General features: G+C 42.9%; 1 pseudogene, besides 1 other annotated feature; it reads right to left on the reverse strand.

The window, feature by feature from the left end:
* Window positions 10345-10394: an enhancer, noted in NCBI's record as "active region_13535". NCBI's record gives its function as "activates an Ori minimal core promoter by ATAC-STARR-seq in GM12878 lymphoblastoid cells {active_cell/tissue: GM12878}" and the evidence as "EXISTENCE:reporter gene assay evidence [ECO:0000049][PMID:35858748]".
* On the reverse strand, window positions 21030-21569 carry LOC100421527 (DnaJ heat shock protein family (Hsp40) member C8 pseudogene; annotated as a pseudogene).

Raw genomic sequence — 23717 nt, forward strand, 5'->3', positions numbered from 1 at the left:
AGTATGGGGAAATAGCATAGGATGCACCAGTCATTTCTTTTTCCAAATTTAATTTTATTTGTGTTCTTTCAGTTCTCTTTTTAGCCACTTGACGTTAACTCACTTGGCCATTGGATATTGGCCCATGCTAATCAAAATACTTGTATACATATGAATTTTACTGAGAATTAAGTAACATTTTGAAAAATACAAAAAAGACAGACACAGAGTCTAAGTAAGTTCACCCTTCTCCTTCCTGTCCTTTTCACAATGGCCTCTACTAATTGCAAATTTTCCATGAAATTCTGTGTGCAGCTAGACTGTATGTGTGTCTAGATAGCCATCAGACATTCAGTTTTGACCAACTTTAAATATGCTCATGCACATTGTTCTATTTCAATAGTGAAATCATCGGTATCCTGTAGTCTGTTTCTCAAGAAAACAAATCTTTGGCATCATTTGTAGGTATGCCATGATTATAGGCATAAAAGTACATCAATCAGTCAATGTCAAGCTGTTTCACAATGATAAACTATTTCAGAGTATGCTATCGAACCCTCTTAATTACTGAATTTTATAAACAAAGTATTTGACGAGGATAACTCATTGTAATGCTGCATTTCATATAATAGTGTAAAACAAATTGAGCGTGACTGTTGGGAAAACATGTGTGACAGCTTGAAATATTAATCCAGGGTACCGAGCCGTGTGATTGATTAGAAAACAAGGAGGTGATGTTCTTGAATTACATTTTTTATGAAATGAATTATGTATAGAAAAATAGGTCATTTCTTATAACTAAAATACCACTTGTAATGACACATATTGATTTTATTCTTTAAAATTTCTACTTGACTGACTATTCTACGTATTGCAATTTACCACTGTTTGTCAGCTGATGCATTTAACCTTAAGTAACAGATTCGGTCTTAAAGTGGTCTTCTTTTGAAGAATTATTTTAGAAATAAAGTGGAGATTATTTTTGAACTTGTACTCTTTCTTATTGTACCCTTATTGTAAAATCAAATAATAATTTGTTTTTACATGTAGGTGCATACTCCAGTCAAACTATTAAAATCTGTACTTTTGTGGATCTGTAGCTTGCTGTGAGTTGCAGATAATTTCTTAGAATAAAGTACCCCACCACCTAGACTCCCACGGAGCTGTGTGCCGTGGAGTTACAGTGATACATATTCAAGATTAAAACATCTTTTCTACACACAGCAAGTTGTGTTCCCCACCTCCTGTGCTAGATCACTAGGGATTTAATTTCCTGAGGCTGGCTTCCTGTCTTTTCTCATCATTTTTCCTTTGCGATTTAAACTTTATTTTAAACTTTATTCCAGGCTCCCAACTTGAACTTGCTATCTACTGCTGGGAACAAGATGTCTGGGCATGTATGGAGGATCAGAATGATGGATGAGCCACGATCTGTTGGGAAAGTGGCTCCACAGTGTCTGGGGACGACGTGTCCCCCAGCAAACCAGCCTGTTAAGAACTTGGTCCAGGAACACCACTGTCATGCCATCAGGGTAAGGGCTTTGACGTCCAGGTGCTAGGTAGAGCCAGGACTGCAAGTTGAAAGGCTTTCACTCAAGGTCTCCTTCAGGATTGGGAGCACAAGGCAACCTTGCTCTATGACCAACAGAAAAGAGAAACCCAAAGGCTGCAGGGAAGCCCACCCCGGCAGCTACAGAGCACTTGCACCTGAAGTCTGTGAGTAGAATTTCGGAGGTCTGCAAACTTAGATGGGAAAAATTATATTCATATTTTTACTAATTGCAGCCTTAAATTTGCATTTCATTCTATTGTGACATGGGAAACAAATCTCAGTATTATATGCAGTATCTATTTATCTATCTATCTATCTATCACCTATCATGTATCTATCCATCTCTATCTAATTATCATCTATCTATATATCTATCTCTAATCTAGTTTACCATCTATCATGTATTTATCATCTATCTCTAATCTATCATCTAATCTAATCTAATCTATCATCTCTATCATTCATCTATCTATATTTTCTATCTATATCCATCCATCCATTTATATCTATCAATTATCTGTCTATTCTCATCATGTATTTGTCTATCCATCTATCTTTCTAATCTATCATTTACCTATCTATCCATCCATTTACATCTATCTATTTACCTATATGTCTATCAATCAATCAATTATCTATCTATTCCCATCATGTAGCTATCTATCCATCTATCTCTCTAATCTATCTATCATCTTTCTATATCTATCTCAATCCATCCATCCATCCATCCATTCATCTATATCTATCATCTATATCTATCTATCATCTATATCTAGCTATCTATCCTTCTATCTCTCTAATCTATCTATCATCTTTCTATATCTATCTCAATCCATCCATCCATCAATCCATTCATCTATATCTATCTATCATCTATATCTATCTATCATCTATATCTATCTATCTATCTGTATCTCTCTATCTATCTATTTATCTTTATGGTTTTATTCCTAATTGAAAACACAGGTGCATCTCTATCACATTACAACAGTTATAGATACTTCAAAATATTTGCGTTCATTGTTACTTTAAAGTTATGGTAGATATGACACTCAAAGAAAGATCTCCTATAATGTGTTAATAAAGATGCATGGGTACCACTATAAAATATTTGTTCTTTGTATTTACCTACCTGGATTTCACTATGGTTGGCTTCTTTTGTAAGCCTGTGGGTTTTGTTATATGTATATATAAACATTATTCATACACGAGGTAAATAAGCTTCAGCAGAACTTTCAGGGAGGTCATGTTATAAAAAGGTGGAGGACTCATCGGTATTTCCAGTACTAGAGCTCAGCTTTGTTAGCGTAGCTGCAGGTAATCTGGGACTGTGGTCAGCATCCTTTGCCACATTGGCATCATGGGTTTTTTATACCAGCAGTGGTTGGAAATAGCCCCTCTGGCTCGGGATATGGGAGCCAGGGGAAGCCCCTTTCTCTTCATTGGTGACACTCCATTGTAATCTTAATGGTTTGATAACTGATAACGTTTAGCCATAATCTAGTTTCTTGGTAACCCATATCAGCAAAAAGAGATAGGCCAGAAGACACAGCTAACATACGTCTTTTAAAGATTGGTGCTTTAGCATTCAGGAGACATTACTTGGGAAATTCAAGAAACATCTGCAGAAGAGGATCTAGCATAGAGCTGGAAGTCCAACAATAGTGAGAAAGGGCTTCACACAGTGAAGTAATAGGGTTAGTACAATAATATGTGGTATGATATCCAGTGTTGTCCACACCTCTGCTTTTTTTATATAATTGTAGTGGTAACATGGATTGCAGCTCACCTTCTGAACGACACCACTAGCAAGTTCCAATGTTAATACATTATCTTCAAAACAATTATTCTTAGAGGCTGCAATAATAATAAATGGAATTAATTTAACCATTCTTCTAATATGAAACATTTAGATTGATTTCCAGCTAAAAATGATGTTCTTAGGAAAACTTTTATACATATGGCACTGTATGCAAATTATAAAAATGTTTTCAAAAAATGTCTTAGGGAGACATTTTACCACCTTTGAGCAAAATTAATAGAGTCATTCCACTGATGATTGCTTTTAATAAACTTCATAGGTTTTCACTGACAAAAAAAAATTCTTGGCAGAAGAAATTCAAATCAAGAGGGTTATAAAAAAAGGGCATCCAAATTATATAAAACATCTTCTGCAGCTAACTACCAGTTAGCGGGGGAATAATCAATTCTTTTTGTGTTCTATACAAACACTCTTAAAAGATATTTGTCCTCATCCGTAATCTTACCCACTTACCAGAAAGCAACCAAGACCTCATGAAATTAACCTCTTCATTAGGGCTGAGAAGAAAAAAATCATATCTTTGGAGTGTTAGAATAGACTGAGTAATTGAGCAATTTCAAGGACATAAGGGGAACCTATGAAAAATGTAAGTGGAGAAGCTGGGGGAAGCAAGAGAAGAGGCAAAGAAAAAAGAAGTTTAGGAAATCAAAAATGTGAATTGTATAAGGGAAAATGTGTAATATTATAAAGATGTTAACAAGAGCGAATGTGATGGATGCTAGGGGTCCTGATAATAGACCCTATTAATAGAATTAGAGGGGCTGCAATATGCTTCCTTATTCTTTTTAATTATTCATTTCTTCGCAGATCAATGGGGCTGTGGATAGGACTGTCACTTCCTCTTGAAATCTTAGATAATGGAAGACACTGACCAAGCTAGAGAAGCTAAAATGTCATGAGGCAAGCTCCTATTACAAAGTGTTAGGCTAGGGCAGGGTGTTAGGCTGAGCTTGGGCAGGGTGCAGCCTCCCTGGAGGAGTAAAGCCCAAGCCAGGTGCCAGGAGCCTAGAGGGGCTGCATCAGGCACAGCACCGGGGTGCAGGGGGATGACAGGTGCCAGTGGGGAGCTACGGTCAGGAGAGACAGGTAAAACCTGGTGACAGGGCTCAAAGGCCAGCTCTTCATGATGGTTGGCTCTTAACATGAGGGCAATGAGCAGCCAAGGAAGGGATTTCAGCAGAGAGATAGATTTAGATCTTAGAAATGTCATTCTTGATACTGCAGCATGGCTAATGCATGAAACGAGAGCAAGAATGGTGTAAGAGGAGCTCCTCAGCAGTCTGTGCTGGCTATCAGCTGTGGGTGCAGAGACAGCCCTGGGGCAGTGGCACAGGCTGGAGAAGCCCCACAGTCAAGAGCTTCAGAAAGTGGCCAAATCCAGAGGACTGATGTGGACTGACATGAGGGTAGGCCTGGTGTGCTCCTGTTTGATAACCAGCTTTGTGGGGCTGGAGAGAAGCCGTGTTTGTAGTTTTCCTGGTGTCTGTTCCCCAGCAAGGCTAATTCAAGCTCTCAGCAGAGGCTGGAAGTTCAACTCTCTGCCCCATCCTGCCAATCCTACTGCAAGGAATCAGAGTAGCCACCCACAAACTTACACTCACGGCGATGAGTCCCCCCGCCGCTGAAATCACGGATGTGGGGAGCACTTGTTTCTTTGGTGTTTTACTGGAGTAGGATGGGACTTGCCAACAAATTTTCCTGCAGCTGGAAGCTGTTTTCGTGGTACTTTGGTCAGGGGCAGGCTGTGTGGAGCTTTGTGTCTGGCTCTGCTGGTGGCCCTGGCTTGTGGGCTCTGCAGTGCCCTGCCTGGGGTGTGCAGGAGGCCATGGGGAAGCTAGAAATCAAGGGCACGTCTGGCCTTGAGTACCAAGGCCCCTGGCCTCCTGCCTTCTTCCCACTTTTCAGAGTGTCCCTCAGTGTGGCTGTGTGCAGGAATTCTCCATGTAAATGGGGGCCCTGGGAAGAATGGGGCTACTCACCTTTGGTGGAACTGCAAGTTTCTTCTATGGATTTTAAATTAAGGGGAGACAGGATCAGCAAGGACAAAGGCCAGAGAGGAGACAGAAGGGTCACAGGTTCCCCTGAAATACCCTCTACTGTGGGGAGGGGAAGAAGGTGAGCTGACCAGAGAATTGCAGGATACCAGGACAGGGGGTCAGCTGAACCTGAGGACCACAGGTGATCTAAGACCCCACGCTTTGCGGGAACATTTTGTCCCACCAGGCATTTTAGCAAAGAACATTCTGATGCTTTAGTCCAGTACTGGAGTCCTGCTAGATGTGAGTGATGTGAGGTCAATCAATGGAGCTGGAAATATTTGAGAATAGCCACATCTGAATTTTCAGAGGCAAACCTTTCCAATAATTAGAATGATACATACTAATCTTTTCTTGAAGAGGATATTGACAAGTAGAGCCTTGATTTGATGTTCTGCAGTCACAGTATTTGAAGCACGTGAGATCTGTTGGAACTCATGTTGAGAAAATGACTGTTAAATATGGAAAAGCAGCAATTTGGGATAATGGAAAGGAGTCAAGCTTGAGGAAAGCAGAAATCCTAACCCACTCTCTCTGTTTCACCCAGTGTTAGCAGGAGGCTGAGCTGGACCCAGCGGCTCGGTGACCAGGCTTTTACATTATTCAGCAGTGCAGAGGCGGTGAGGAGCTTTACTCTGTATGTCTGCTGTTTTTCTGGGCAGCCCTTGGGTTTCAGGCTGATTGCATTACCCTCTGTCTGTCTCACAGGCATTTTAAATATTTGTTGACTTGGATTCCACAGAATGAAACTACACTGGGCTCCTGGGGAATTTTCCCAGGATTGAAACAGAAGACACAGGGAGGAGCACTTCTGATGTGGTTTGGCTGTGTCCCCACTCAAATCTTATCTTGATCTGTAGCTCCTATAATCCCCGTGTGTCATGGGAGGGACCTGGTGGGAGGTAATTGAATCACGAGGGCAGGTCTTTCCATTGGTGTTCTTGTGATAGTGAATATGTCTCAAGAGATCTGATGGTTTTATAAAGGGCAGTTCCCCTGCACATGCCCTCTTGCCTGCCGCCATGTAAGGCATGACTTTGCTCCTCCTTTGCCTCCCACCATGATTGTGAGGCCTCCCCAGCCATGCGGAACTGTGAGTCAATTAAACCTCCTTTCTTTATACATTACGCAGTCTTGGGTATGTCTTTATTAGCAGTATGAGAACAGACTAATACAACATCTCAGGTTTGACCATAGTGGGACATATTTTTGAAAGACGTGAAAGTACAAAGAAACTAAAGGCAGGCAGATAGCCTCTAAATTCTTGGGCATACCATTTACACTCCATTGACATCTTGGTTTCTTTCTAAGGACTGCACTATAATATCCCTACAATCATTAAAGCAAAAAGCAGGCTTCCTCGATCTTTCACAAAACGATCTTGCCTTTGTCAATCTTAGCTTTTGTTTCTAGGACACTAGATCAGTCACCCATTTTTAAAGAATCAATTGGTTATTTTCTAAAAATAAGCATATTAAAAAATTCCAACTATTAAAATTGCTAAAAATTCACTTTGAGGTACTAGTCTATTTACTTAAACACTTTTTAGGAAAAGTAGGTCTTAAATTTCATATGAAATAACTGACATTTTGCATGCAGAAAAGTGAGAAAAACTCTTGTGATGAATACTTCTAACTTCCCAGAGACGTGGAGCAGGAGGGCTAAGCAGTTTCATGATTAGTGAATCCAAAGGATGATGCTCAAGGGAGAAACCTGAAGTCAGATCCAAAAGGGGAGTGACTTTCCGCCACTGGGGAGGTGAGCAGTAAGTTCTTGCATCCCTCTCCATAGGCATGGGCCACTTAGCACTTTCTGCATTCATGATGATGTGACAAGGTTAACTGGGAGCCACAATTCAGACATACCCAGAACATGTGGAAACAGAAACTTTATCAGGCAAAGGGCCATCAGCCAGGCTCCGAATAGGATGGAACTGTTTTTTCTGTGGTGAAACCAAGTGTCATGCTAGTTTCCTATTGACTTTAATAGCGATGGCGCCATGTTTGAGAGGCCACAGAAGAGACTTGGAGCCAGCAAACGAGACACAGGGTTTATTTGAGGGGACTTTCATACAGGGCGAGCCAGTGGTAGTGGAATGGACAGGAAAACTATGATCCTTTGTAAAAAGCATGTAATTTATACAGCACTTTCACTTAGCACTCTCCTCCCAGCAACCTCCATGTGGCAACCCCCATTTCTTAAGTTATTGCTGTCAGGTGCATCTGCTGTACACTGAGAAACTCATTTCTTGGCATGCAGAAGAAAATAAACACTGGTAGGATATCCAAAGTGCCTCCAAATAAAGCTTCCTGCTATGAGTCTGAAATTTCCATTTTCAAGCACCCAAACAATTGGTAACTAATTTAATTCTGACAAAGAACAAGCTCTGACCTACAGTAAACAGTCATTGTGTTTGAGCTTCATGGGAAAGCTCTTTCAGTTACCATAAGGTCAGTCAACTCACTTTTGCCAGAAAAATAATTACTTGGAAAACTGTTTCACCAAATAACATCTGGCCTTCATGGACACTAATGCATTGTGTTTTTCAGTGAACTTCAATGTGGGCCAAGAATATTTTGAAATATTTAGAAAAATGTATTAAAAGATTCATGTGAAATTTCTGGTTTTCTGGACAAATAGAAATTAGGCCTTTGAGTCCTTGAATTTCTGACTGGTTATATGTGGATGCGGCACTTAATTAACAAAAAATGAGCATACGACCTATTGACTACATGAAAGTCCCATCATAATTAGCACAGAAAATGCAGGTTTAGGCTGGACAAAGGGGCTCACACCTGTGATCCCAGCACTTTGGGAGGCCAAGGCGGGTGGATCACTTGAGGTTAGGAGTTTGAGACCAGCCTGGCCAACATGACATAACCCCATCTCTACTAAAAATACAAAAATTAGCCAGGCGTGGTGGTGCATGTCTGTAATTCCAGCTACTTGAGAGGCTGAGGCACGAGAATCACTCGAACCTGGGAGGCAGAGGTTGCAGTGAGCTGAGATCGAGACTGTCTCAAAAAAAAATGCAGGTTTAATCATTTCCATCTAGGGTGCACATCACTGGAATTCTAGGGAGATATTACCCTACACACCTACCTCTACTTCATAAAATGCACTTGTCACCTGTGGGTTCAACCCTCAGTGCTAATGAAAATCCAGTGCAAATGAAGCAAACAAGCTATGGTAAAGGCGATAGGATCAAATTGGTTTCTTTTTTATATTTTTCTAAGCTTCTATACAGATTACTTTGAGTTAAAATGGTAGAGTTAACAGAAATGCTGAAAATTTCCTCTCCCCAATTGTTTGTGCAATCTTCAGAAACTGTCAGAGGAAAATAAATTTTTAGCAACTGCAGTAAAAATGCAGAAAACAAAAATGCTTCAAATTATCAGAAATTGCACAATCTAGTTTCCCACTGCAGATTAAGAACGAGGCCGTCAGTAAGCAGAAAATCATTACTTCTTGCAATTCACCTAAGGAATTGAAGTTTCTCCCACATCTTATCTACCCCGGAGCATTTTCAACTTTCATCTCCATTTGCAGCAAATCTCTGCTTGCAGTGAGCAGAATTCTGCACTGCACTCACCGTGGAGGGTACCTGGGTCCTGGCTATTCTCATCGACCTGCCTGACATTTCCCACAGGGCCAGCTGGAGGTTTGTGCTGGAGCTCAGGGAGTGAATCTACTTCCACCTGCAAGCTGCAGTGAGGGATGGGTGGAGCATTGGGTGGAGCAGGAGAGAAGGAGCCGGCCCTCTGTGGGCCAGAGGAACAAGACATAATATCAAATATCTTCTTTCTGCCTTGATGCGACCATTTACTGTGGTTTTGTCACGTGCTAGGCACTGACCTGAGTCCTTCACACACATTATATCATTTTGTCTCTTCCATGGGCTTTTGAAGTAAGAGCTATTCTCATCCCATCAAGCTGAAATCCAAATTCAAGTTGTCTGATTTCACTATGAGGCCCTGACTGAGAGAGAACATCCTAAGGGAGAGGTTTTACTGAAACAGAAAGGAGAGGCACCAAATTCTAATCCACCTTCGACACCCCTATAGCAAATTTGACTGGAATGCAAGAATAATTTGTTATTAGATAAAACAATGCTATAGATCATTGCATTGGAAAATTAAAGGGGAAAATATTATAGTTACTATATACCTATCAGTGGCCAAAAAGCATAGGCTACTATTCAGCCTTTCATTTCTAATACAAACGCTAGATAAAACAGGAGCAGCTGAAGCTCGTCTAAGCAGGGTAAAGACTGAAAAGTCAACAGTGAACATCAAGTTCAATCAGCGCTCTCAACTTTGGCTGCTCATTCGAGCCACCTGCAGATCCTTGAAATTCCCAAGGTCACACAGCACACCAATTGCATCAGAATCTGTGGGGGCAAGAGCCAGGCATCAGTATTTATTTTAAAGTTCCTCAGATGATTCCAATTTGCAGCCAGTATTGGAAAGCGCTGGGTTAAATTGGGCTTTCCCAGCCCAATTTAGCGCCGCTTTTCCCATCAGGAGATGCGGTGGGGTGGAACATGCTGGGATGTCTCTCTGGTTTGGTTTGAAGGCTGGCTCCAAGGGTACAGGTGTTACCGGTGGGGGGTGTTCAGGTTCTTGGAGTCTTGGACAAGAGTTGGACAAAACGCACAAAGAAAGAAAGAAAAGAATAAAGCAACAAAGCAGAGATTTACTGAAAATGAAAGTACACTCCACAGTGTGGAAGTTGACCCAAGCAAGCAGATTAAAAGCCAAGTTACAGAATTTTCTGGGGTTTGAAAACCCTCTAGAGGTTGCCCATTGGTTACTTGGTTTACACCCTATGTAAATGAAGTAGTGGCCTACAATCAGTCTGATTGGTTGTGGGAGGGGACCAATCAGAGGCTGAAGTGAAGTTACAAAGTTATACTCCTATGCAAATGAAGACTTGGCCTGGGACCAGCCTGATTGATTGCAGGAGGGGACCAATCAGAGGTACTTTCATTTTTACATCTGCCACACAGAAAAGGGGAGGGGGGCATTGTAAAGGGAGTAGCCTCTGGTCCTTTCCACTTGGGGATGGAAAGTTGGGGTTTTCGTTTTGATTTAGTTCTAGGAAGTCAGTGTGAATCGTAAATCAGCCTCAGGTTCGCCGCCTCCAGACCCTATTCTCCTGCCTCACAGAGAGGGCAACTCCCAGGCTGAGCAGCTGCCAGAGCTCAGCAGTGGGTGGCTGATCATGCTCAGCCTCCGGGAGAAGAAAGAGTACACCTAGAAGAGGGGAGGAGAAAGCTTTTCTCCTCCCTGAGATGGGGAAGAGTGGGGCTGGGCGGGGTCTCAGCTCCCGACAAGGCTGTGAGGCCATCCTGGGCACGTGGCCCTGGACTGTCCCAGGGGAAGCCCCTCTCCACTTCCCCCAATCCCTTCCCAAGCCAAGCCCAGCAGCCAGGAGCCATTAGGGGTTAGAGGAAGACTGCAGAAAAGGCCAAAGGTGCATCTGGTAGTTTGCCTTGCGAGCCCACACGGGTGGGTGAAGAAATTCACTGGGTACTGTGCTGAGGGCAAAAAGTCAGGAGTTTTTAAGTTCTAGGAAAGCGGAGTTTATGTTGGTTGTGCCCTCTAAACAGTAAAGGGTCCTCTGGATATGTAGGGCCGAGTCCACGGCTCTGCTCACACTTGGATACTCAGTCTCATTCCTCCCTGGCCAGCAGGAGCTTTCTGTTGGGTCCAGTTAGGGTCTGAGGCGCCTGGGTCCCACAAACTAGATGGCCATAGGGACGTCCGGATTCAACCTGCTCCAATTCAGCAGCTGCGGCGAAAATAACATCCAGTCGTGTTTTCTCCCAGGTTCTACTCTGAGTGGGTAAGCGCCCTGTGCACACCCCGCAGGCTGGGAAGGCGTCCGCGCCAGCACCGAGCCCTCGGCTCCTGGGCTACTCTTCTGCCACCTTCAGCTCTGGGCCGAAAATAATTAAAAATCAATACTTCAGATCAAGGAAACCGTGTTTTCTCATTTTATCACTGCAATTTCTTTAACACCGGCACGGATACATCCATATGTGCATTTGAGATTTTCAGATGTTTTCTAATCATTGGGTTGGGAAGATGATATTTCTCTGCAAAGCTTAGTCATGTAACCCAAAGTATTAGCCAATAAATAGCTGTAAATCCAGCTTCATTCTTAATCTAGTTCAAGGTAGGACATCAGTATGACTGCCAACGCCAAGGAGCTGAAGTTAATTCAAAATAAAACCATCTTGTGCTGAGAACCAGCTTTCCTAATAAAACATCAAGAGTTAGCATGGCCATTTATGGGGACCTTTATGTATGTTGTTGACTGTTTTACAGGTGAGGAAACCGAATGTTACAGCGGGTGGGTGGATTAACTAGCCTAAGTGCTATTTCACTAGAGGAAACTCAGCACTTTGCCTCTTAGAATCATGTTTTCAAACTTGAACATCGGTTGAGGAAGAGAATATTCCTCTTGCGGAGGTGGGTGTGCAGGTGAGAAGGGTCCTTGGTGGATGCAGTCACTCCAGGAAGGAAGGGACAGGAAGAATCATGCCACGAGGAAACCGAGCTCTGCACTCTGTGTTTTGCATTTTCCACAAAATCGTACAGAACCATTCACCTTCGCAGGTGCTGCACCCCCTACCCCTTCCCCCTTCCCCCTTCCACGAGAGGGGCTGCACCCACCGAGAAAACCGGGGCTGGGGGAGCTGCTCATATTGGCCCACTTGTTTATCGTGAGGGTTAAAAAGATGAGGCCAGGCTCGGTGGCTCATGCGTGTAATCCCAGCACTTTGGTAGGCCAAGGCAGGCGGATCACTTGAGGTCAGGAGTGCGAGACCAGCCTGGCCAACATGGCGAAATCCCCTCTCTACTAAAAATACAAAAATTAGTTGGATGTGGTGGCAAGCAGCTGTAATCCCAGCTACTCGGAGGCCGAGGCAGGAGAATCGCTTGAATCAGGGAGGCGGAGGTTGCAGTGAGCCGAGATCGTGCCACTGCATTCCAGCCTGGGCGACAAGAACAAAATGCCATCTTAAAAAAAAAAAAAAAAAAAAAAAAAAAAAAAAAAAAAGATAACCAGGAGGAGCCTGATTATAATTAGGTCACTCATTGGTTCCTTCCCTCTCTCTTTTCTTCCCCACTCTCCTTCCCAGGCCCCACTCGCCAAGTACACACTGAAGCCTCACCATTGTGCTCCCGTCAAAGCCCTGGTTTCCTCCATGGGAGCTGGCCCTTCAGGACCTCTCAGCTGTGCTCCTGTGGGGTCTGGCAGGTATTCCCAAGTTCTGAAACCTGAACACCTCCTTTCTTAAATTCAGATAAATCTAAGACATGAGGTAGCTGGGCCCTACTTCTTATTTTTCAGTCCTCTCTATTTACAATTGTGATTGCATGTTTAGTTTCCATTATGCAAACGGGTGTACTTCTGAACTCTTCATTGTTGTAATAATTTCTTATTCGATCCTCTTAGATTTTTAAGTGGAGAATCATGGTGGCTGTGAATAATAATTGTCTCTTTCCAGCGACTGTAAGCTCTGACTTATGTTTCCATAATCTGTCTATATTTGTTTGAATTTCCAGAGTAATATTACTAAATATTTGCCATTTATGAAATTTGCATGTTTTTCTTGACATTGATGGGAATATATGTCATGTAGTATGTTGGAAACTATGTTCTGTAGTGCACTGGTGTGCCCCAAATAAAAAAATGTGTTATTTTTCCGGAAAATAATAATTTAAAAAGGTATGAAGTGAAATATTCAATATATCAATCTATGATATATGGTTTATAAAATATGTATAATATTTTTGTCAAATTTATTGAGATAGAATTTAGAGACAGAATTCACCCTTTTTAAGTTGATAAAAGCTGAAGGACTTTGCACATGCGTGTGGCGGGCATGCAGTCTTGCAACCAAGATCCTGACCATGTCCGTTACCCCCAAGTCCCCTCAGACCCCACCACTGCCCACCCACAAGCCTGACACTCACTGGTCTGCTTGCTGTCCGATGTTGTTGTCTTACCTAGAATACTCTATGGGAAGAATAATTCTATTTGGTCTTTGTCTTCCTTCACTTAGCTCTATGACCTTGAGAACCATCCGTATTGCTGCAGATCAGGTCCATGGCATGGGTTATCACAGGTTGTTTATCCAGTCACCTGTTCTGGTTGCACTGGGTTTTTGACCATATAAGCGAAGCTGCTATATAATAATTATGTGGACACATGTTTTCATTTTTCTTAGATGAATGCTGAGCCTTGAGATGGCTGGATCATACTCTAAACACATGTTTAACTTGATAAAGAACTGCTCATCTTTTCCTTTTCCTTTCCACATTGCCAGGAAAAGGGGCTGGGCTCTCCAGCCGCCTCCCGTTCTCACACTCACATGCCTGCCTTGTGACTTTAGATGACCTCCCTTTGTTCACTGGTGCTGTTGGGCCCCTTTTTCTGTCTTTGTTGGCTATTCCTAGATCTTCTCTGTTAAAATGTCTGTTCAAATATTTTGTCCATTTATGTTGTGTTGTTGGTCATATTTTTGGATTATAACAATTCTTTGCATAATTTGGACTTAAGATCTTTATTAGAATGGAGTTTATAACTATCTTATCCCAGTCTGTAATTTATCTTTCTATGTAGTTATTTAATTTTTATTAAGAAATATTTTAAGTATACAGAAAAGTATAGATAATTGTCTAGCAGGAATCTGTTAATGTGTGTTTTACAATGTTCCATTTCTCTGTCTCACTACATGCCAGTTTCCCACTTTCAGTAGAATAAAAAGAAACATCAACAAACCTATATATGCAATTGTGATTTTTCTCAAGTTTTTATTTACTTGGATGACTTTTTAGATAATGCCATACTCTTTTCTTTGGTACATAAGCATTATACATTTTACAATATTATTAATCATTTCCTTTATTAATCAACACAAATCCTGCATGTTTGCCATACTTTTAATGCTTTCAAATTGAATTTTTTTGTTTTTTCTTATTATTTCCCCACTCATAAATGCATCAGAAATTTCAGGACATAGAATTCTTGGTTCTAAAAATTATCCTTATAAATATACCACTTTGAAAACACTGACAAAAAATACTAAAATAAATGTAGCACTGCAAATGTGAAATCTCAGATCAGCCTGGTTGTTTTGATGTAACTTTTTACTTTGTAGTTTACCTTATTTTTTCTATATTAAAAAACCTTTAATATAATAGATTCAGCATTTGAGGAAAGATAAGCACTCAATGAAATTACAGAAGTAATTGGCAGCCTCTATGGGTTAAAGCTGGATTCTACTTTATGGAATTCATAAAAGCTAATTTCAGACGAATTACAAACCTATTTATGAAGAAAAACACAAAATACTTATTATTTTAGTTATTTATTTATAAATTAATATTAGGTGACAAATAATTTATGGCATTTATGGGGTACAATGTGATATTTTGATATTGTTTTTCTATCATTATAATATTAAGTTCAAGAATTTCATCAAGATATGCCACTGTGAGTTTCTTTGTTCATTAATTTATTTCTGGTTCTCTGTGACTTCTTTGAATTTACAATCTCAACATTTTCTTCATTTAGGTGGATTTTACTCTATGTTTTCCATGACTATTGTTTCTTTTTTGTAGGTTCTATTCCATTCAATATTTGGCTTTAATTTTATGTTTAATGTGTCTTTTGAAATTTGTCATTTGATAGTCATGTTTTTCACTCTTGGGTAGATTTTAATAACCCCTTTATACATCACCAACTCCCTTTCCATGAGCCCTTGACTTTGTTTCATCAATGTTGTCTCCAATTGAATGTTGCTGAAAGCACAGATTTGAAATTTCCAAAATGTACCTCGTGTTCTTACAGTGATCACATTCACAGAAAAAATATTGTTCTGACTACAGTGATCACATCACAGAAAAAATATTGTTCTGACTTCTCAGTCCAGATTCTCCTGCTGGCTGCCGTATCTTCTCATCTCCCCTGCAATTCTTCTGTGTGCTCGGGGACACTTGTAGTTTTCCTGTCCTGTGAGTTGAGGTCCGTTACATCCCATAACATGTGTGTCCCCATTCACATCTTTCCAGCTCTCTGAAAATCGCCGGGAAAGTTGGGATTGCCCCGCAGCGTGGGGGTGATGCCGCTGCAGCGCAGGCTGGGACAGAGAGCAGCCCGGATGCGCGGAGCAGACTTGGACTTCAGAGCACCTTCGCTGAAGCCGAGTGCTGCTGTGCCAGGTTTGTGGCGGTCATGGTGGAAAGTGGTGAGTGCCTCGGGATGGGTGCTCCTGCGGTCAGAATCCTGTGGTCAGAATCCTGAAGCACCCCCCACAGGGGCTGGTGGGATCCAGGTGTGCCCCTCGCTGGCCTGTGGTCGACTTACCTTTAGCCTTTCCTCTCCTTGGACACAAACAGCTTTGTCCAAGCTTTCACGTCCACCTTCAGGAGGGCTATTCCTGTCGTGTGGACCAGGCTGGACTGTTTGCGCCTGGGTTCTGTCTGCCTTAGGACCAGGAGAAATGCCTGGAAATTTCTGGAGTGGGAAGACTCCATCGTAGATCTCGGGGCTATTGCATCTTTTTCATTATGAAATATTTGGTCATTTCGGTGGGAATCAAGTAGAAAACAGTTAAATTCTGGTTTCTCTTCCCCATTTGCTCTTAAATCCTCTTTACCAGGTGACTTGTCTAAAAGCCATTTAAATAGGACCTTTACTTCTTGATTAGATGGGCTCCAATGCTGATAAAAGAATGCACATGCCATAATCTTAAAATAGAAAATATTTAATGATAGGAATCTATGTGTGGCCATCTGAATCAGATTTAATTATCAACTATTTAAGCTACTGTGTTAGTCCATTCTCATGCTGCTAATAGAGACATACCCGAGATTGGGTAATTTATAAAGGAAAGAGGTTTAATGGACTCACAGCTCCACATGGCTGGGGAGGCCTCACAATCATGGCGGAAGGTGCAGGAGGAGCAAAGGCATGCCTTACATGGCAGCAGGCAAGAGAGAAGTGCAGAGCAAAAGGGGGAAAAGCCCCCTATAAAACCCTCAGATCTCACGAGAACTCACCCACTATCATGAGAACAGCTTGGGGTAACTGCCCCCACGATTCAGTTACCTCCCACTGAGTCCCTTGTACACACATGGGGATTATGGGAACTACAATTCAAGATGAGATTTGGATGGGAATATAGCCCAAACCATGTCACCTTTATTTTCAAAGTGTATTCTAATCTCTGATTGTTTTAAAAAAGACCTCTTAATATCCATGGCTAAAGCAAGTTTTGATATTGCATCTCTTAAACTATGAAATGTTTGGAAACACAGATGCAGTTACAAAGCTGTAGAAACATTGCTATTCCCATCCATCCTTAATGTTCAGTGTGTCTCTGCCCTAAGCAGGAAGCTCAGAAATCTCCGAGCCTTCAAATAAGAGGTGGTAGTTTTCCTCTGCGTGTAGCATATTTTATATTTAGTCCATGCATACCAGTATCTCTTGATTATAAAGTGACAAAGAGCAGTGGGGTAATAAAAACATCTCAGAGTTGTTAATATTGAGAAACAAATGGGAGCCAAAGCCGTCCACATGCAAAGTGCTTGTTCCAGCATCTGGCCTTTGGTAAATTAGAACCAGTCAGTTGTTGTATAACTGGTCCCAGTGGCTTTGTACAAATCATATGCATTTATGTAACCCAGAGTATCATGATAATGTGGTCATTTCTATTTGTTCATAATGTTCTATTTATTCTAACTATACCATGTAAGGCATACTGTGTTCCCTGAGATACTTTTGTTATCCCCACTTAATAAGAGAAGTAAAATGAAGCTCAGAGAAGTTATGTCACCGGTACAGGATGAAGCTGACTTGCAGCCAAGGCTTCGCCTCCAGCACCATGGCCCTAGATGTGGTGGCCTCACCTTATTGACTGAGTTGCTTTCCCTGATCTATGAAGATACATAGTGAGCCAGTGAGAGCTTAAAAAAACTGTGAGCCAATTTTGCAAGCACCTCTGGCAAGATGTCGTGGTGGTCTAGAGGGGCTGTCACACAATGCAGCTGGAGGAAGGTGAGGGTATACCTCGGCCGTCCTCATCGTCCCTCCTTCTTTCTTGTCCTGGTGCCCAGGGATTGCTGTAGTAACAGTACAGGTCCCTCTGGAATCCCGGGGGAACCGAATATTGGTAAACGAAGAGGTGATGTGGCTGGTGGAGAAGAGGATATGGAGATGGCATAACACAAGCCCCATGGACCCCCAGCTCCAGGCTGAGCCTGTGTGGACCACAGCACTGTGATCCAGGTGTCCTCCTGCCTCCTGCCATCTTTTGGATTGTTTGGAAGCTCAATTCAAATTATTCACGAAAACTCAAATATTTGTTTCCTATTAAAAAAAAAAGTCTTCTTTTTAAAACAAACTCTGAGATTGACCAAGGCACACAGATGCCCTGGAGCTTCCTCCCCAACTCCACTGGGCTATTCTCTCCCTTGCAGTTCAGCTGCTGCTTCCTTCCATGCCAAAGAGCATCCCCATCTCCAACTCGTCCTTTCTCCTTTGTGCATTAAAACAACTTGAGATCCTCAGAATGGACTGCTCCCCAAACTAAAACAAAAAAATGCAAGCATAATAAAATGCATAGAAAGGCATGGAATCAAACTTGAAATATGCAAGGTTTGGGCATTCCATTATTTATGAGCATGAAGGCCTTTCACAAATCAAAATCTCTTTTAAATTGAAAGTGCCTTTCTTCCTCTCCCCCTCCTTCCCTCCTTTCCTCCCACCCTCAATCCCTTCCCTTCTTTCTCTCCCTTTTTTTCTCACCTTCTCAACTTCTATCTTTCTTAAGATAAGAGGTTCGTGTGATGCTCCTATTTATGTGGCTTTCTTTAAAAATGAGAAGAGGAGGAGCCAGGCTACACCAAGGAAATACTCAACCCCATGCTTCTGCAGGTGTCAACCTAGAAGGCACCAATCCAGGTGGAAGAGGTTCTCTCTCCTGCCCTACTGTCTTTGCCAGGGGTGGTGTTGAGAGCCATTTCTGCAGATACCCCGCACCCCGGCCGCCCATTCTCAGTGATACAGTCAGACATAAGCATCTGGGGGTGAAAACGCACCCAACACAGAGCTGGGTTTCTGGAGTCACCTTCTGGGGTTGGACTTTGCCTTTGGGAGAGGCCCTGAATGTCTCCAAGCATTCCCACATGTCATGGGAATTATGGGGGCTAAAATTCAAGATGAGATTTGGATGGGGACACAGCCAAACCATATCATTCCACCCCTGGGCCCTCCCAAACCTTATGTCCTCACATTTCAAAACCAATCATGCCTTCCCAACATTCCCCCAAAGTCTTATTAGGGCATTAACTCAAAAGTCCATAGTCCAAAGTCTCATCTGAGACAAGGCAAGTCCCTTCTGCATATGAGCCTGTAAAACCAAAAGCAAGTTATTTACTTCCTAGATACAATGAGAGTACAGGTGGTGGGTAAATACACCCATTCCAAATGGGAGAAATTGGCCAAAACAAAGGAGTTACAGGCCCCATATAAATTCAAAATCCAACTGGGCAGCCAAATCTTAAAGTTGTGAAATAATCTCCTTTGACTCCATGTCTCACATCCAGATCATGTTGATGCAAGAGATGGGCTCCCATGGCTTTGGGGAGCTCTGCCTCTGTGGCTTTGCAGGGTACAGCTTCCCACTTGGCTGCTTTCACAGCTGATGTTGAGCACCTGTGGTTTTTCCAGGTGCACGATGCAAGCTGTCAGTGGATCTACAATTCTGGGATCTGGAGAACGATGGCCCTCTTCTCACAGCTCCACTAGGCAGTGTCCCAGGGGAGACTCTGTGTGGGGGATCTAACCCCACATTTCTTTTCTGCACTGCCCTAGTAGATGTTCTCCATGAGGACCCACCCTCTAGCAAACTTCTGTCTGGACATTCAGGCATTTGCATACATCTTCTGAAAGGTAGGTGGAGGTTCCCAAACCTCAATTTTTGACCCAAATGCACCTGCAGGCCCAACACCACATGTAAGCTGCCAAGGCTTGGGGCTTGCACCCCCTGAATCAAAAGCCTGAGCTGTACATAGGCCCCTTTTAGCCATGGCTGGAGCTGAAGCAGCTGGGATGCAGGTCTCCATGTCTAGGCTGCATAGTGCAGGGAGTCTTGATCTTGATCCAGGAAACCATTTTTTTTCCTTCTAGGCCTCCTGGCTTGTGTTGGGAGGGGCTGCTGTGAAGACCCCTGACATGTCCTGGAGACATTTTCCCCATTGCTTTGGTGTTTAACATTAGGCTTCTCATTACTTATGCAAGTTTCTGCAGCTCGCTTGGATTTCTCCTCAGAATTTTTTTTTCTATCATATTGTTGGGCTGCAAATTTCCAGAATTTTGTGTTCTGCTTCCCTTTTAAACATAAATTCCAAATCCAAACCATATCTTTGAGAATACATAAAACTGAATGCCTTTAACAGTACTCAAGTCACCTCTTGAACACTTTGCTGCTTAGAAATTTCTTCTGCTAGATGCCTTAAATCAACTCCCTCAAGTTCAAAGTTCCACAGATCTCTAGGGCAGGGGCAAAATGTGACATCTCTTTACTAAAACAAAGCAGGAGTCATCTTTGCTCCAGTTCCCAACAAGTTCGTCATCTCTATCTGAGACCACCGCAGCCTGGACTTTATTGTCCATGTCGCTATCAGCATTTTGGTCAAAGCCATTCAACAAATCTCTAGGAAGCTCCAAACTTCCCCACATTTTCCTGTCTTCTTCTAAACCCTCCAAACTGTTCCAGCCTCTGCCTGTTACCCAGTTCCAAAGTCATTTCCACATTTTCAAGTATCTTTACAGCAGCACCCCACTCTACTGGTACCAATTTACTCTATTAGTCTGTTCTGACACTGCTGATGAAGATAAACCCGAGACTGGGTAATTTACAAAGGACAGAGTTTTAATGGACTCCACAGTTCCACATGGGTTGGAGGCCTCACAATCATGGTGGAAGATGAAAGAAGAGTAAAGGGATGTCTTAAATGGCAGCAGGCAAGAGATAGTGTGTGCAGGGGAACTGCCCTGTATAAAACCATCAGATCTTATGAGACGTATTCACTACCATGAGAACAGCATGGGAAAGACCTGCCCCCATGATTTGATTACCTTCCACTGGGTCCCTTTCATGACATGTGGGAATTATGGGAGCTACAATTCAAGATGAGATTTGGGTGGGGACACAGCCAAAGCATATCATGTGGCAACCCCAGGGTTGCTGTGAGCCCATTCAGAATCATTCTTTGCTCAATTAAAATCTGTTAAATTTAATTTTTTTAGCACCATCATAATTCACTGATGTGGAAAACACTGGCTTTCAAGCCATGGAACAGACGGCAGGGTGGGTGTGGGTCCCAACAGCCCTGGTTTTTCTGGGTGTTGGTAGAGAGAAGAGCAGTCTTTAAATGGAGACTCTTATTTCAGTTCCAAATACTTTGAAAAGCACCATATTCCCCTGAAAACAGAGTAGAAGAAGCAGCAGTGACCCTGCATATTGGGTGGGTGGGAAGGGAGAGTGAATCTGCCTTACAGGAGGGCGGGCGGAGGGTGGGGTTTCTGGCGCTCTGGACCCCAGGAAGTCACTCACGCGCTCTGTTTCTACAGGCTTGGGACCCAGAAAGAGCAGAGTATTTTCTCACTTCCCCTTTGTGCTGCTTGGAAGTTTTGCCAGCTGTCTGCATGACCATCTTGACTTTCCTCAGGGTTTTTCTGCCACTTTCTTTCTGGCTTAACGTTCCCTTCAGCTTCGATCTGTTCTTCCTTTTTGTTGCCTTCTTCCACAAAGCCTGCTGGCTTCATTCTTTCTCATGTTTATTTCCAGTTCAGTGATGAGCATCGTGGTCTATCCATTCAATATCTGCAGAGCTCTGAATCCTCGTCTCCAATGCATTGCTCATTACAGGTTGTTTTGCAGGTATTTGGTGCCTGTTGAACCACACCTGGGCCCCCCTGCCTCTGCCCAGGCCCAGGGGCCACCTGTGGGCTTGGTCCTCAGCTTTGAGAACCTTGTGTGCTCTGCCAGTATCATCTTGATTTTTGTCGGGATGCAGTCACAGGGGTAACTGCTGCACACCCTCATTTCCTCATCCAACCTCCCCATCAGGATGGCCTGCAGAACTTGAGAAGGCCTTGGACAGATGCAGCAGGAGCCAGGAAGGGCTGGTCCATCTGATGATAGGACTCAAAACCTGTGTTTGTTTGTCTGTTCTCACACTGCTATAAAGAACTGCCAGAGACTGTGTACTTTATAAAGAAAAGAGATTTAATTGACTCACAATTCTACATGGCTGGGGAGGCCTCAGGAAACTTACAATCATGGCAGAGGGGAAGAGGCATGTCTTACATGGCAGCAGGTGAGAAGGAGAGAGAGAGGGGGAGAGAGAGAGAGAGGAGAGTGAAAGAGAGAAAGAGAAGCAAAGGGGGAAAAGCCCCTTATAAAACCATCAGATCTCATGAGAACTCACTCACTATCATAAGAGCAGCATGGGGGTAACTGCCCCCATGATCCAGTCACCTCCCACCAGGTCCCTCCTCCAACACATGGGGATTATAGTTCAGATTACAATTCAAGATGAGATTTGGGTGGAGACACAGCCAGAGCATATCAAGACCTAGAGCTTCCTTCTCTGTTTCTCCCCTCATGGAAGTTCTGGTCACTTCCTCCTGCTTCTCCCCACCACCGTCTGCCATCGGCCACACTCAGTTACTCCTGAGCAGTTCTAAGGCACACCTTTGGGCTCCATTGGCAGTTGGCGTGGGGGGAAATATTTTAAGTCAAGGCCAAAAGAAACAGCTCTTTGCATCTGGCCTGTGGGTCATGAGGAGACTCACAGCTATCCCCAGCTCACTAGAAAGATTTGATCCCCCAGGGCCACTGAGCGTTCCCATTTGACCTTCTCTTTGCGTCTCCCCTTCAAGAGTGGAGGGGGGCTCCAGCCACCAGGCTCATCCCTGATGCAAGAGTGGGTGAGAGAATGGAATTGAGCCCAGCCCAACTTGCCGTATGTGAATATCATTCCTTAAGTGGGTGGGGAGATCCAAGGTCTCCACAGCCCCTGCCTACAGTTCCTTCTGGAAAACAACCTTCTGGGTCATGGAACACTTCCTGTGTTTAGCTAATCTCACTTTTGCTGTGAGGAGGAAGTTTCTTTTCTTCTGCTTATAGAGAGGTGATGAGATGATGGACATGGGTCTGTATTTACTTCCCTTGACTCGTTGTTTTGTTTTCCACTACAAAAATAGCTTTCAGAAAGAAAAAGGGCTACATAATACAGGGGGGATGAAAGAAGCTCAGATGCTGTGTAAAATGCAGAACAATAACAGCTCCTGGAATGTTACTGATGCTTCTGCCATTCCAGCTGCTGCCGCTGAGCTGTCACAAGAATCAGGAGAGCCTCCTCAATGCCAGTACCGCGGGAGTGCTTGCTGCTAACCACTATTGTTACCTAAGTGACTCCTTGTGAGGAGCAGAAACCATCTTCCCTATTTCACTAGTGGGGCGAATGAGGGCTACAACATTTAGGAACCACATCCACGGCTCGTGTCAGAGCTGAAATTAGAGATACATCTTTCTTATCACAAAACCCAGGTTGGTAATTTCCATGCTAGAATGCTACCAATTCACTTTATTAAACACAGGATTTTGTAAAGTATGCATACCGCTCAAAACTCTTGAAACCCTTTCTAACACTAACAGTCAATACAGGTAATATATATAGTAAATCCATGGATTCCCATTTTAAATCCGTATCCTATATTACTTCATAGCATCCTCAGAGACCATGAGATGCAGAATGCCTATGTAAAAATTCTGCAATGAACCATTCATTTTCGATTCCACATTCCTATGATGAATAAGTGGTATGCATGGGATATGTAAGTACAATTAGCATTCATGGTTTAATCTTCCTTCACTGATAAAACATGCAATTGTCCAATCCTGTGATAAGATTTTTTTAAATTTGGGAACATTTTACTGTGTTGTCAGAGACAACCTCTCAGAACTGGTATTATTTTGTTCTCAGTTCCTGTTTGTACAAAACTTGACACATATGAGCAAGTCTGATGTACCTGCACAAGGAATATATGCATATTTTAAAAGTTGCTAGCATATTGAAAGAGGAGGTAGGAGGGCGGGAGATAACCCCGAGAAATCTGCAGAAGGGGGAATTTAATCCCACAAAGACACCAGGAAGGAGAGCAGGAGACCAAGCCCCACCCTGACTTTCCACAGGGGCTTGGATGAGCTCCCGAGGGCAGGCGCTCGCACAGCCTGAGT

The sequence above is a fragment of the Homo sapiens genome, chromosome 18, assembly GCF_000001405.40.
Source record: "Homo sapiens chromosome 18, GRCh38.p14 Primary Assembly".
NCBI lineage: Eukaryota > Metazoa > Chordata > Mammalia > Primates > Hominidae > Homo > Homo sapiens.